At 41.5% G+C, this 15,659-nt stretch overlaps 1 annotated feature.

Moving 5' to 3' along the window:
* Positions 6,137-7,336: an enhancer, noted in NCBI's record as "MED14-independent group 3 enhancer chr1:182729835-182731034 (GRCh37/hg19 assembly coordinates)". NCBI's record gives its function as "activates an origin of replication core promoter dependent on BRD2, BRD4, P300/CBP and CDK7 cofactors, and independent of MED14, by STARR-seq in HCT116 cells {active_cell/tissue: HCT116}" and the evidence as "EXISTENCE:reporter gene assay evidence [ECO:0000049][PMID:35650434]".

The following is a 15,659-nucleotide window of genomic DNA, read 5'->3' as shown; positions in this document are numbered from 1 at the left end:
GTGTCTTAACAGCAAAAACAAGGTGTGGCAAAATTTGGTCTGGAACAGCACCTAAATAGAGAATAATCTGGTCATTTTCTTGTATAATCTTCTGCTCTTGATGGACCAGAGGGTAAGACAATCATTCATTCATTCATTCATTCATTCAGCATTTTCTAAGTGCTTACTATAATAAAATCTAGTAATAACAGTTAACGTTTAACAGAAAGCCTACAATGTGACAGGCACTGTGCTAAACACCTTAAAATGAACGCAACTACTCCTCACTAACCCCCTGAAGTAAGAGTAACATTATCCCCAGATAAGAAAACAGGGGGATTAGGAAACTTGCTCCATGTCACATAACTGGCAGAGCTTAGTTTCCATCCCAGACAGTCTTAGCTAAGAACCTGTGCTCTCAACCACTGTGCCATGTCATTTCCCTATGTCCAAGGTTCTGAAGTAGGCCTGGTTAGGAATGCAAATAACAAACTGTAATTACAAACTGTAATTAAGTCAGAATGGAACAGACATAGAGAACTGGTTCTTAGATGTTTGCCCGCTGAAACATGTACCAGCTGATATGCTTGCATGAGATGCATTCTCTGTGGCAACACTAGCACTGTCATTGATCCACCCTTTCCCCTCCACTTTTTGCCCTAGGAAAGCATACTGAAATGCACGTAATACATGTGAGTAAGAGTGACAATATTGTAGGAATGACATTGAATCAGTACTCATTTATGAAAGTGATGTATCCTTTGCACATTTTTGTATAAGATGATAGTGGTTATAAGTCTTAGTACACAAATGAAGGCATTCAAGAAATATAACTTTTTTTTTGCTTTTATAAATCAACTTCATTTTGGCTCTGGACACCCAGCCTTTTGAGCTGGCAGGAAATTTAGTCTCTGCCATTTTGGGCTGATCTCCCTCATGCCCTGTGAACGTGTGCCAAGATCTGGGTCTTACGCAGGGCCAACATATTGTATTGCACAATTATCTACATTGATTCCACTGAGACTGCTGTGGTCTTTCACTTTCCCTTTGGCTCTTGGAACCCTGAAACCTATAAAACTGGGAGCCCTGGGCCCAGAATCCAGGTGCCCAGCTTCCCAAGGCTGCACATGACCTTTCTTCCAAGGCACCTTAGATCTCTCTTCCCCATAACCTAAGGCTTTTCTTTTTCTAGAAGGAAATCCCTTGCTCACCTTCCATCTGAGGCACTTTCCTGTCAGCAGGCCCTATTCTCCTCAATGGGTTTTGCTCTTTGAAAAAAAGAAAGCCATGAGGTAAAAAGTATCTTTTTTGTTCTCTTTCTTGCTGCAAACCTTTTGCAAGACAAGTAAGTAAAAATCTGCTTGAATTAGGAGAGGAAAATAGTAACAAAAATAATAATAACTGGTCTTTAGAGTAGAGTTTACCTGGAAACAGATGCCCTTTTCTTATTAGCCTTCTCTCCCTCTCCTTCTTTACAAAATATAAGTAACTTTTTTCTTAATTATAAAAGTTGCCATTGAACGATTTAACAGTAAACATAACCGCAGTTTGGTAATTATTTTTTCAGACGTTTCCCCCTGTGTGTATATATTTAACAATATTCAAGAAACATTTGTAGAATGTTTACTGTGCCTTGTAAGCTTCAATGAGGAGGCTGATCGTATTTGAGGTATCAGCCCATTGGAGAGTTTGCAGGGCAATAACCTGATCATCTTTATATGTTTGAAAGATCACAATGGCGGTCCCATGAAGAATGGATTGTAAGGACAAGAGGCTCTTACAGTGTCCAGAGAAAAGATGCTGGTGCTGGGGGTAGGGTGAGAGTCATGAAGGTGGAGTGATAAGCAGGGATTCTGGATCTGGTTGGGAAGGCAAGCAGGCAGGACTGGCTGGAAACTGGATATGGAGGTAATGGGCAGTGAGGAACTGAGGATGATTTCCAGATTTGGGGCTTGAGCAGCTTTGTGGACCTGGGTGCCATCTACAAGAAGAGGGGAAAGGCTAGCAGTAGGGCAGTATCTTTTACTTCTTAAAATGCTTCTCTAGAAGGGCACTTCCTAATTTCCAGGACCTCTTGGAGTCTAGAGTAGTGAATCTAGGGGGTGAATCCTGACCATGGGAGGCACAGATGATGCAATGGGCTGCAGGAAAAACAAAACTTCTATTTAATCTTGTTTTTCTCATCCTTTATAATTTATATTTCTGTATATGCCTTACAATATGCATATTATTACAGAGTTTTGTATATATATACACACACATGTATATCATTTATAAATAAATAAGAATGACTGAATGAAGGAATGAATAAACTGAGAATGTGGCAGACAAACAGCTGTTCACCAAAATCTGTTCTTCATTTCAGAATATACAGTTTTAGCTGGCAAGCTGCTGCCCAGCCCAAGGCAACTTTTTCCAGATTGCTTGCATGTGGGTGTGACCAGTTCTCTAGTTATTCCCAACGGGAGGTGAATGGAAGTTATAAATGTCAGTTTTGGACCAAGGCTTTTGAGAAGCAGTCATGCTTCTTTTACACTCTTTCCCCTTCTGCTGGCTTACATGCAGAAAAGGAACAGGCCCTGGGAATGTCGGAGGCCTGAGATAGACGGAGACTTCATCCCTGAAACATTGCTGGGAGGGGACTGCCAACTTACCAGGAGCATTCACTTCATGCAATTTTATCAGCAAGAGATAAACTTCTGGGTATTTCAGTCATTATACACATTTGGGTCTCTTCGTTACCACAGCCTAGCATAGAGGGAGCATGCTTAACATTTTTCTATTGGCTTGGAGCATGTGCAAAATATATGGAGGCCACTGGTCTAAGCACTTGCCAAATGCAAATGAAATAGGATTGCTTGTTTTGTCAGATCCAGGGGACAGAAGCTCACCATTTCAAAGCCATCCCGTCATGTAATCAAAAGCTATAAGGATCATAGATGGTGTTTAAGACAGCTGAGTTTTATGTTTGCAAAACTGAAAAATAGTGAAATTTTTAGGAAGATTCACAAACTTAGATTACCATTAATTAGAAAAAATGACAAGCCTTAGTGGTAACCCAAGGGTTGTCTTAGAAAATGTGGAAATATTTGATGAATGTTATTAAAGAGCAGTGAAATCCAGCAATTGTTTGGCACAGAGTTTGCTCAAATTTGCAACTACTTTAATGTCCCCAGACTTTAGCTTAAATTGTCTTTTTTCAAGGCTCAAGGACTTTCAAGATCCAAGTGTTTTCCAGTTACCTTTGCAAATGAAATAAGAGTTCACTGCATTCCTCTGACCCTCCTCCCTGGTGTTTAGATGGTGAAACTCAGAAAGCCTTCCTTCATGCATTCAGCTTAGAGAAAGAATAGAATGATATAACAAGGCAATATTTCTGAAAGCTGAGATCAACAGACTGTGATTAAAGTCAGCTTGCAGTTATATTGGCTGAGAATGTCATGCCAGCTGCTCGTAAACCCCACAAGATGATGGATGTCTTACTGTTATCCTTATTGCTCTCCAGAATTTATTAGCAGAAAGAAAAATGGGGAAAGGTTATAACTCTCAGAGGTCCAAAATTTTCTTTGCAACAGTGAATAGTGAAGGCTTGGGTGTCAGTTATAAATGAATCACTGGGCATTTGTGTGGCACAGGGAGGAGTGTCAGAACCTCAGCACTCTAATCAAGAGCGGCAGGAGCACCTGCACAGAGGGTCAAGTGAGGTGTTAAGAGGGGTCGTGTTGCAGGTGCATTCATCATTCTACCCTGAGAAATTTAGCTAGTTGCTGTTGAGAAAAAACTCTGTTAACAATAGGGAAACAAAATTCCACGGCCCTCATTCACTGTTGGGGAATTAATGGTTATAGGGAAGGGAAATCCTGCTTGGGTTCAGGAGTGAGGTGTGGGAGTTCTAGCATCATGGAACTGGTGAAGGACTATGTGACTGGGGATCTGGGAGCAGCTGCTTTGGGAGGCAGAAAGATAGATTTGGATCCCTCATCTTGGGTCTTGATGCTAATTTCCTTCCTTTCTCCTGCCCTCTCCTTTCTCCTACTGAGCTAAGAAGAAAAACTCTGGAACCTGCTGTTTTATTTTTTTCACTCAAGAAACTGATTAATGAAAGCTGCTGGGTTTAATAAATGGCTGTCTATTTCAGCTTAGAAAACACTGTTTTGGGGAGTGGAAAAATAATGGCAATCATTCACCTTGTGGAGAGCTGCATTAGTTTGCAAGTTGTTAAAGGAATAGACTTTGGTATTAAAGAAGCTTTGGTTAGGATACGTGTTCCTCCACCTGGGATACGACATTTAATAGCTGTGTGACCTTGAGTGGTTACTTCACATTGTATGAGCCTTAGTCCTCTCACCCAGGAAATGGCGATTAATGGTACATGCCTCTGAAGTTTGCTGTGGAAATTGAGGAAGAGACTTGTAATAGTAAATGTTGGATAAATGTGAACACTCTACATGACCTATTTATTTTCTACTTTCATATTTTCAAAAGGAAGATAGAGAATGTATTTGCTTATGGGTACATTGCTTTTGAGCTCTTGCTCATGGTTAAATTTCCTGCTGAGTATTTTCTGAACTCCAACTCATCATTATTGAATCTGGACAGTTAACATCACCCCTATTCATTTCTGTCTGGAGCACTCCCCTCTCTTTCTTGTCTTAGGAAGTTAAAAATGAATTGATGTGGCTAGAAAGATTCCAAAGGGGGAAAAATGAACTGATAATGTGGGGAAGTTTGCTTTAATTTCCTGAAGAGAAGCTTTGGAATAATACTCTGAATACTTATTATTTGTTGAACCTGGTCAATGTTAGGCATCCCATGCAGATTTTCTAAAGGTGCCATCTTTGTCTTAGGACTATGTAATCAAAATGAGCAAGGTAATCCTAGATGCACAAGTCAGCTTTGTGTTCATTGATGAGGTGCACTATTAGCCTAGATATTGTATTCGATTGCATGAGCACCTCATTCAAGCACTGTCCCACTTTAACCTCTTGCAGCCTGACTGACTACTCTCTGTATCTGGAAAATGGAAAAACCAGCCAGAGTTTAATCCAGAAAACAAACTACTCTAGTTATTTTAGATACAAGGGAGAATTATCTGGAGATTAGGTTCTTAGGAAATTGTTGGAAGGGTTAAAAGGAATGGGCTCTAGGCTGGCTAGAGCTAAGAATGGCCCCTGGAATATGATAGAACTGAATTACAAGGGAAATGACTACCCGAACCCCAATTAGGAACAGCAAAGAATGGAACCATTGACTTTAAGGACACAAAGGCATAGCTGTGATCGAGAGATCAGAAAAACAGCATCTGATCTGTTTGGGGGACCAAACCGTGTGGACAGTGGAATGTGGAGTCTGGTGATCTTCATAGCCCAACTACCCCTCAACACTCACAAAGGCAGAGACTAAATACTGATACACAAAAATCTTCCCTGCCAGCAGAAAACAGCAAACAGCAGAAAGACAGCTTTTGCCCACTTCCACGTTTTACATTTCTGATGAGTGCATCTAATTGACAGAACCTAAGTCATATCCAGTCTCCTAACTAGATTCCAGAAAATGTTGTGTTTATTTATTTATTTATTTTACTTCCAGCCTCTGCAGCATTGGAAAGCACCCTGGAAATGTAACCATGGGACCAGCTCAAACTGATTAACCATTGCTTTAGTTTTTACAGGTGACAAAGGACCAAAATTGCCTGGGTATGCACAATAGAAAGGGCTTTGACCTTCTAATTTAACACCACCAGCCTGGCAGACCAGCTGCATTGGCATCATCTGGAACTAGTTAGAAAGGCCATAAAAGCTGGAGCTACTCCCAGATTGGAGAGACAGTTATGAGTGTTGCCTCCTATCTCCTTGCCAGTTGACTGGAAATAAAGTGTTTTCTTTTCTCCAAAGCTGGTGCCATAGTATTGTTATCTATGTGCATTGGGCAGTGAGCCCATTGCTCGGTAACAATAGGTGAGAATGGATGTTGAGCCACAGTCAACCAATTCCTGCACACTGTCCTGCCTGAGACCCATTATTGTGTGTTCATCTGTCTCTAATTCAACCACATGAATTCAGCAGAACCAAACCAGTTCACTAAGGTAGAGAGAGAGAGAGATTTAAATATGGGAGCAATTTTGTTGAACATTCAACTCAAGGAATGAGCATCAGATCTGAAGTGAGTATGAGCCAGAAGACATGAACTTCTTATTTCCTCAGGTGATGTCAGTACTGAGGTACCTCTCACAATATGAGTCTATATACTCTGAATAAGTGAATAGAGTGATTAAAAAGCCGTATCTAGGGTCTCCACTCCTGAGGGGGGTAATGAGAGAGGAGAAAGGAAGAAACCAGACAGGCAGGCAGTTAGGGTGGGTCCTTGGTTGAATTATTTCAAAGAAAAGAACAGACTGCAGGCATAGATAAGGGAACTTGCACAGGGGGACTTGCCTAAGACATGCTCCCAGCCACACAAATAAGAAAGGCTACACAGGGGACTTGCCCAGACATGCCCGCAATGGAAAATTACATCCCCTGACACATGTACAGTAAGGGGAACAAAGCAATATGGAGTAGCTCAAGCTAGGGGCCTGCATATGCACTAGGAGGACAGGGTGGAGCTACCAGAAATTCACACCTTATGCAAATGAGATGTTCAGTCCTTCTCGGTTTCTTATAAAAGCCTTTGCATTCAACTCTGAAAATGGCAACCCTCTTTCTGGTCTTCTCTCTGCAGCAGAGAGCTTTCTTCCTTCACTTATTAAACTTTTGCTCCAACCTCAAAAAAAAAAAAGAAACAGCCATATCTTAGTCAAAATCTGGCCCCTAACAGAAGGCCAAATCCCTCTGTGTTTATAAGATAAAATGATAAACACAAAGAATACTCTAGGGAAGTAATTTTTTAAAAAACCTGTTTATAGATTTTTGCCTTCCTGGCTGAAAGTTGAGGCCCTTCCTCCTCACCCTCCCATGAGACCTAGCTTCATTGTATTTCACTGAGAATTCAGTGATAATCAATTCAAATGAGCAGTCATGTGAAAGGATGTTGTCAACTGTAAAGTCCTACATATGTCAGGTGTTATTATCACACATAGTGCTTTACATGTAATGGGTACTTTCAATGTTTTGCCAACTTTTCTTTGTTAATTTCCCCCTCTCTTCAGGCAATATAGACATATGTATTATATATATATATATTTTTTTTTTTCTGAACTATTTGGCAAGTTTTAGAAATCATGTCCCTTTGTCCTTAAATACGTCTGTATAAATTTTCTAAGAAGAATATTAACTCAGAATATTGACCATTGATATACTACTATTTAATCTACAGACCTTATTCACATTTTGCTAATTTTCTCTGTAAGTTTTTTTTATACCAGTGCTTTTCTTCCATCCAGGATTCAATCCAGAATTATGCATATCATTGGGTTTTCTGAACTTTCTTTGATTTTCAGGACCTTGACATTTTTGAAGAAATCAGGCCAATTCTTTATAAAAAAGAATTGACTCTATACAAGAGTCACTGAAACTGGGTTTTGTCTGATGTTTCCTCATCATTACATAATTAGAGTCAGGTTATGTGATTTTGGCAGGAATAGTAAATAAACAGTTAACATTTCTTGAGCTAAATAAGAAGCAACCCAAGGTGGATTCACTAAGCAGTAGTTTGAAGGTCACTGGACAGAGTCAGCCAGTGTGGAAGCCGAAAGACTAGACCAACTTCTGCCGTTAACCAGGTAATATTGAGTAACAATAATAAAAAGGATGGTGATGATCATCGTAATAATAATGACTTTATTTAGCAGCATGGAAAGTGCTCTTATATGCATTATCTTATGTAAATCTTTCAATTGTCTCATGAGGTAGAAATGATTCTTACTTTATGGATGATAAAATTGAGGCTCGGAGAGATCACATAGGTGGAAAGTGGCAGAGCCAGAGGCCAAATCCAGGTCTCAAAATCAGACTCTGAAGCTTTTCTTTCTAAACCAATATGCTGGAACAGAAGTCACAGCACCTTCTCGGGAATTCATCTCTAAAAGGAGAGGAGTGAATAAAACAAACATGTAAGGCAGCACTTCTCAGTATTTTGGACTTCGCAAAGCAATAAAAATAATTTTTAAAATTGGAAAACAGACACAGGACTTGTAATACTTTACATTGCCAAGTAAGGATATTAAAATACAAAAATAAAATTTTTATCTAGCATCAGTACTGTTTCATAAAAGAAAGGACATTTTAATATAAAAATATAGGAAAGTAATAATCTCAAAAAAAGAACATTCTTTGAAATTGGATGTATTAGTTTTGTAACATACTCGGTACCTTGTCATTAATTTTCCCACTTCACTGGGGCCTCGTTAAAGATCTGATCTGAGCAGCCCTGATCTGTGGCCTGGCATCGGGAGAACACTGTTTTATGGTGTCTTCCTGCTCTAGTGTCCAGCGGGTTTATTCTAAATGACAAAAGTACGTGAGCAGGGAGAGGAGCAGTGAACAATGATACCTTCCCAGGGTCTCTTTTCTTGCTTCTCTGCTTCTTAGCCCTCACTTTCAAGGGATAAGAAAGAGTTGGCAGGAGAGCAAATACAACATAATGATTTGGGTATAGTAGGAATGGAATAGCACCTGTTCGTGGCTGAGGGCCTAGGGTAGAAATTTCCAGAAAGCAGCTTCTGTCAGTTAAGTTAGGCACCCATTCTGACACAGTGGTTTTTTTTTTTGGTGACTATTTCTATTTGTTTGTTTGTTTGTTTGTTTATTTATTTATTTATTTATTTATTTATTTGAGACAGAGTCTGGCTCTGTTGCCCAAGCTGGAGTGCAGTGGTGTGATCTTGGCTCACTGCAACCTCCGCCTCCTGGGTTCAAGTGATTCTCCTGCCTCAGCCTCCCCAGTAGCTGGGACTACAGGTGCACGCCACCATGCCCATCTGATTTTTGTACTTTTAGTAAAGATGGGGTTTCACTGTGTTGGCCAGGCTGGTCTCAAACTCCTGACCTCAAGCGATCCACCTGCCTTGGCCTCCCAAACTGCTGAGACTGCAGGTGTGATCGACTGCACCCAGCCAGGTGATTTCTATTAATGCATTAAGTAACCAGGTCTTGAAGTGGTTCTAATAACTCCCATAATTTCAAAGTAGTAATAATTATAAACAATATTTTGCAATATTATCTGTATTGTGATGTTAAAATACTTGTGATTATTATAGGTAACAAAGTCACAGGTACTGTTACCACTACTGAAGTGTGAAGCCTACAGTCATAATTGAAGAAAAGGCACAATTTCAGTTAGAGGTCAGTGAAATCAAGATGTAATTTTTTTCCCATCTGAGTTCATAGATTCCCTGACTTCTTTTTGTTTTTTTTGAGATAGCGTCTCACTCTGTCGCCCACGCTGGAGTGCAGTGGGGTGATCTCCGCTCACTGCAACCTCCGACTCCCTGGTTCAAGTGATTCTCCTGCCTCAACCTCCTGAGTAGCTGGGATTACAGGCATGCGCCACCACACCCAGCTAATTTTTGTATTTTTAGTAGAGATGGGGTTTCACCATGTTGGCCAGGATGGTCTCGATCTCCTGGCCTTGTGATCTGCCCACCTCGGCCTCCCAAAATGCTGGGATTACAGGTGTGAGCCACCACGCCTGGCCGATTCCCTGACTTCTATCCATGGGTCCCTTGGAGGGGAATGGAGGATGGGGTGTAGGAGGAATCTGAGGACCCCAGATTAAAACCCCTATTTTACAAAATGTATTTTTATAAATTTAGAGGGTACAAGTGCAGCTTTGTTACATGGTATACTGCATAGTGGTAAAATCTGGCCTTTTAGTGTACCCATCCCCTGAATAGTTTACATTGTACAAAATGTGTAATTTTTTACTCCTCGCCCTCCTCCCAGCCTTCTCATCTTTTGGAGTCTCCATGTCTGTTATTCCACTCTGTGTGTCCACATGTACCCCTGTTTAAGTCTATATTCCCTGTCTATTTTTTAATCTTCCATTCGTGTCTTAATTTTATGATCCCTCAAATATCTAACTGTGTATAAGAGTAAGCAATCTTTGTAGTATGGTTTTTACCCTCATGACCCAGGGTGACTATTCTCACCAAAGTCACCAATGTTCCCCCAGGTTCGAAGGACTTTTTCCCATTTTTATATTACTCCATCTCTCTGCAGCCTCAGACACCAAACCGTTCCCTCCTTGGAACTTTCTCCTTCCTGAGATTCTGCAATATTCTTCTCCATGCCATGACACAGTGGTTTTAAGCCCTCATAATGGTGGGAGTTTTTTCAAAACACAGGGCTGGAGCTCTGTTCTCTGAGTATTCTGAGAGGGAAGGTTTGGGGTAGGGCCTAGGCATCTGTTTAATGCTACATAAGGAGTTCCAGTTTGTACCAATTGAGAATCACTGCCTTTGTTATTTATGAGTGCTGGATGTATGTTTTCCACTGATAACTATAATAATAATAATAATCATAGCCATAGACTTAGTAATGTTTTTCTCTCACACTGAGTTTTTTTTTTTTTTTTTTTGAGGTGAAGTCTCGCTCTGTCGCTTAGGCTGGAGTGCAGTGGTGCCATCTCAGCTCACTGTAACCTCTGCCTCCCAGGTTCAAGTGACTCTCCTGCGTCAGCCTCCTAAGTAGCTGGGATTACAGGTGACTGCCACCATGCTCGGCTAATTTTTATATTTTTAGTAGAGACGGGGTTTCACCATGTTGGCCAGGCTGGTCTTGAACTCCTGACCTTAGGCAATCTGCCCACCTTGGCCTCCCAAAGTGCTGGGATTACAGGCATGAGCCACTGTACCCAGCCTCTCCCACTGAGTTTTAAAGCACAGCTCTCATTTAATCTTTTCTTGGCTTTATTTCCAACCTTAAAAATAAGAATAAAACAAAAACTCCACTTCCTTCAACAAGGAGATGTATATATTAATGAGGAAATGTCTGCAAAATTTTCGCAATATCTGGAATCAAATGTATTTTGTAGGAATAAAAACAATAATTTCTTTTCTTTTCTTTTTTTCTTTCTTTCCTTCCTTTTTTTTTTTTTTTAATGAGGCAGGGTCTCACTCTGTCACTCAGGCTGGAGTGCAGTGGTATGATCACAGCTCACTGCAGCCTCGACCTCCCAGGCTCAAGCAATCCTCCTACCTCAGCCTCCTAGGACTACAGGTGCGTGCAACCACATCTGGCTAATTTTTGTACTTTTTGTACAAAAATTTTCACAATGTTGCCCGGGCTGGTCCTGAACTCCTGGACTGAAGCAATCCACTGTCCTTGGCCTCCCAAAGTGCTGGGACTACAGGCATGAGCCACTGTGCCCAGCCAATAATAACTTCTTTATTTTGGAAGCAAACAGGGAGAAGGCAGAGGTAGATTCTAGGGGTGGTTTGTAAACTGCTGATTTATGGCCAATGATAAGCAATGTTAGTCTATGTGTGAAGATGTGAGACAAGCAGAAAGTGAGTGTTTGCAGGTGTGACTTTATAGCTAGGGAATATAGATAGCAGAGCATTGTCATAGAATCTTAAAGAAACATTGACTCAAATCTGCAAGGAATCTTAGAGTTTTCCATCTTCATTCTTTATCCCCATGATCACATCCAGTCAGGGCCACATTATGACTTTCTTGGAACCCCAGCAGTTCTGCTTTTGCTCCATGGGCCGAGATGGGTGGATCACGAGGTCAGGAGATCGAGACCATCCTGGCTAACACAGTGAAACCTGGTCTCTACTAAAAATACAAAAAATTAGCTGGCATGGTGGCACATGCCTGTAGTTCCAGCTACTCAGGAGGCTGAGGCAGAACAATTGCTTGAACCCGGGAGGCGGAGCTTGCAGTGAGCTGAGATTGCGCCACTGCACTCCAGCTTGGGCTACAGAGCGAGACTCCATGTCAAGAAAAAAAAAAAGTATCTAAAATTATATTTTATGACTGCATTGGCATAAAATCACCTGTAATCCAGGCTGGATTTATTATTACATATTCATTATTATATTTATGTTTCCTTTGGCTTAAAAAAATTAAAAGTAAAACATTTTTATGGGCCCCTAAAAGCATCATGGGCCCCAGACACTTGCCTCCTATGTCTAATGGAGGAGTCAGCCCTGCCTGAGAGAGGGAATGCACTATCTTTTCAAACAGCCCATAAATTTCCATTTAAAAACCATTTGAATTGATAGAAAGTTTATAATATGTATATGCACTTCTGTCATGTTTTTCTAGTTCTTTTCCTTAGAGCCAGTCTCCTCCCTCTGTCTCATGTCCTACATACTAGATCCTGGCTATTCAAATTGTGGGTTGTGGACCAGAAACATTGGTATCACTTGGAGGCTGGTTAGACATGCAGAATCTCATGTCTCATCCTATACCTACAGAATCAGAATCTGCATTTTAACAAACTCCCTAAGTAATTCATATTCACACAAAATTTGAAGAAGCACTGTATTGGAGAGAATAATAATAGCCAACGTTTATTGAATACTACTCTGCCGGACATCATTTTAAGTGCTTTATGTGGATTGTCTAATTAATTCTTTCAACAACTTTATTTATTTTTCCCATCTTACAGATGAGTAAACTGAAACACAGAGAAGCCAAGTGACTGTCTTTATCCAGTGAAGAAGTGGTGTGCAGGAATTCGGACCGGACAGTGTGACTCCAGGATCTATGCTGTTTATCTCCATGCCAGTCTGCCCATTCTCCTGTGCCCTTCTCATTTGAGAAGTTGCTGCTTGCTGCCCAGCTTACAGTTCAGGTTGCCAGGGTGGGAGCAATATTTTTCATAGCACTTAGTCCAACCCTCTTGTTACAGCTGATTGGGTGACAGGTAGATAGATCCCTGATCAATGGTAGTCTATGGCTATTCTGCAATCTGTCACTCAGGTGGGCTCTCACTCTGTGGTATTTAAATGAAGCAACTTGGAAATAATTTGCTAGCTGTTAAGGAACAGGAAAAAGTGGATGGGTGGCCTGTAGATGAGTCATGTTTAGAGTGACTTATCAGTAATAAAGGTATTAGTGCTTCGCTACTTGAGTGTCTAGAGTACCTTCAATTCAGATCCACTCTCCCACTCATTTATCTGGGATTCCCAAGCCTATTATGGCTCCATCTTTTGAATTTCCCTGGGAGTCCTTTTATTGTACCACAAGAAGCCCTACAACAATCTTGCTTTACTTGAGCTAGCTCAAGTGGGTTTCTGTTTGTTATCCTAAAAGCCAAACTACAAGAACACACATTCACATATTTAAAAGCACTTGTGCATCTCCCTAAGCTACCCCTTCTCCAAGGGAAGCATCCCCAGTTCTTTCCATCAATCCTCATGCCACGTGTTCACTCCCTGTCTTGCTTCTTTCCCTCTGGACCGTGCAGTTGTAGCCTTTGGAAACAGACTAATACGGAGGCTGGAATTGGAAGCCACTTTTATGGAACAATTTTATGGGTAAAGAGTGAGCCTGCCAGCCTCAAAATTTCTTCCTTAGCACCTGGCAAGACTCTTCCCTGGAGCCTTAAAATTGGTTCTGCTTACAAGAGGGCACGCTGTAACTGGAGTTATGACTAACAGCTGAGCGCAAGCCCCCTCCCAACCGCCCTCCACCCGCAAATGGGTAAGAGTAGGCCCCCTGAAGAAAAGCATCAGAAATTGGAGTGGAGAGTTTTTCCCAAGCCTGTTCTAGCTTGAAGGCATTTCAAAGGAGAAACCCTGATGGACTGTGTCTCCCCAACTCTGGGGAAGAAACTGCAAGCTGGCAGGCAACCAGCTTGCAGCAACGGAGAGGAACTCCGGCCCATTCCCCCTTGTGGTTGTCGTGTTCAGGTCAGTACTAACTTTAGCCCTGCAGTCCTCAAATGGGGACAGTCCACTAGTGGATTAAATCCTCCTTAAATGATTAGAAGCTTTTAGCCAGAGATCAGAGGAAAGGAAATTATTTCATTTATTCTCTGCTGGTACACGATGACTTCCGGGGAAGCCATCCTCCAGTGTTTTGCAGAATAATAACACTTTCTATTCATATATCATTGATCTCCCAGGAGCTCAAAGTTCTCCACAAGCATCTTATCAGCTAATTTCACCTGAGGTGCTTGGGAAGGAGGGAGGAGGCAAGGACAACATTTGCTTTCTTTTTTTTTTTTAACCTTGAAGTGCAGGGGTACATGTGCAGGTTTGTTACATAGGTAAACTTGTGTCATGGGGGTGTGTTGTAGATTATTTCATCACCCAGGTATTAAGCCTAGTACCCATTAGTTATTTTTCCTGATCCTGTCCTTCCTCCCACCCTCTACCCTCTGATAGGCCCCAGTGTGTGTTGTTTCCCTCTATGTTTCCACGTGTTCTCATCATTTAGCTCCCACTTACAGGTGAGAACATGCACCCAAAGGAATATAAGTCATTCTATTATAAAGACGCATGCACACGTATGTTCATTGTAGCGCTATTCACAATAGCCAAGACACAGAATCAATCTCAATGTCCATCAACAACAGACTAAATAAAGAAAATGTGGTACATTAATACTATGGAATATATGCAGCCATAAAAAAGAATGAGATCAGGTTCTTTGCAGGGACTTGGATGGAGCTGGAGGCCATTATCCTTAGCAAACTAACATGGGAACAGAAAACCAAATACTGCATGTTCTCACTTCTAAGTGTTTGCTTTATTTTCTTCCTTGCGGTCATTCTTTTAGCTGAGACCTCTGCCCCTCAGAAAGAGAGGTGGGGGTAAGCAATGCTGAGGACTTTTTCATTATATAAATTGCCTTACAGTGTTGTCCCTCTACCGGCTTCTGCTGGGTGTCCAACTACCCACCACTAGGTCATTATCCTCTTTTTGTAATTTACTTGCCTCGTTTCAATGTGGGGTAAATACCCTCTTGTTGAGTTGGAGAAACTGGGGGCTCAGAGAAGCTGTGCAGGATGACTGAGTTCTCATGCCAGGCTATGGGTGAGTCTAAAGCCAGTGTTATCACATGTTCAGCTACTGACATGTCCCTCTAAATTCTTCCTGCCTGCAGTGCGCAGGGAGTGGTTACAGAGCTGAGGTTGGCCATAACTCTCTGAATCTGAAAAGATGCGTTCTGAAGCACGTTTGAGGATAAAAGAGGGACGCACATTGAGCCTGAAGGCCTGACCTCAAGTTGGCTGGCCGTCACTCTGAAGCGGCTCTTTTCAGACCTACATCCTGTGCAGTGCTCTGCAGATCAGGCTGCCTCTCTGGGACTTGAATGTTTCAAAAAGGATCTAAAGGGCCTTTCAAATGGTGCCGGGACATAAATAGCTTTCACAGAAGAATGTTGCCTCAGTGATGCGATGACTGAATCAGCACCACATTGAATTAGCAGCAATCTGGTGCTCTGGGTAATGGAGTGATGGTAAATGAACATTATTACGTTTTTACCCCGTGAATGAGTCCTTAATAAAAAAGACAAATGGCTTCCAGGTGTCTTGCCACAAAATTTCAACAACTGAGTCACTCAAGCTGGAGGGAAGAACAAAAGGCAGTATAGAATCTCCTCGTGATTCAGTGGCCGCCAACTTGGATTGTCCCCAGTTCCAACTTTAGCATCTTTCTTTAGTCATTCTACTGCACAGTCAGTTCCCCTTGTGTAGATGGACAACAGGAGGAATTTCTAATGAAAAGACAAAGCTGCCACTGTCCCATCTGACCAAGCATCCCCAGAGAGAACAGGCTTCCC

The sequence above is a fragment of the Homo sapiens genome, chromosome 1, assembly GCF_000001405.40.
Source record: "Homo sapiens chromosome 1, GRCh38.p14 Primary Assembly".
In the NCBI taxonomy this organism is placed as follows: Eukaryota; Metazoa; Chordata; class Mammalia; order Primates; family Hominidae; genus Homo; species Homo sapiens.
This window is presented reverse-complemented; position numbering and strand designations above follow the sequence as displayed.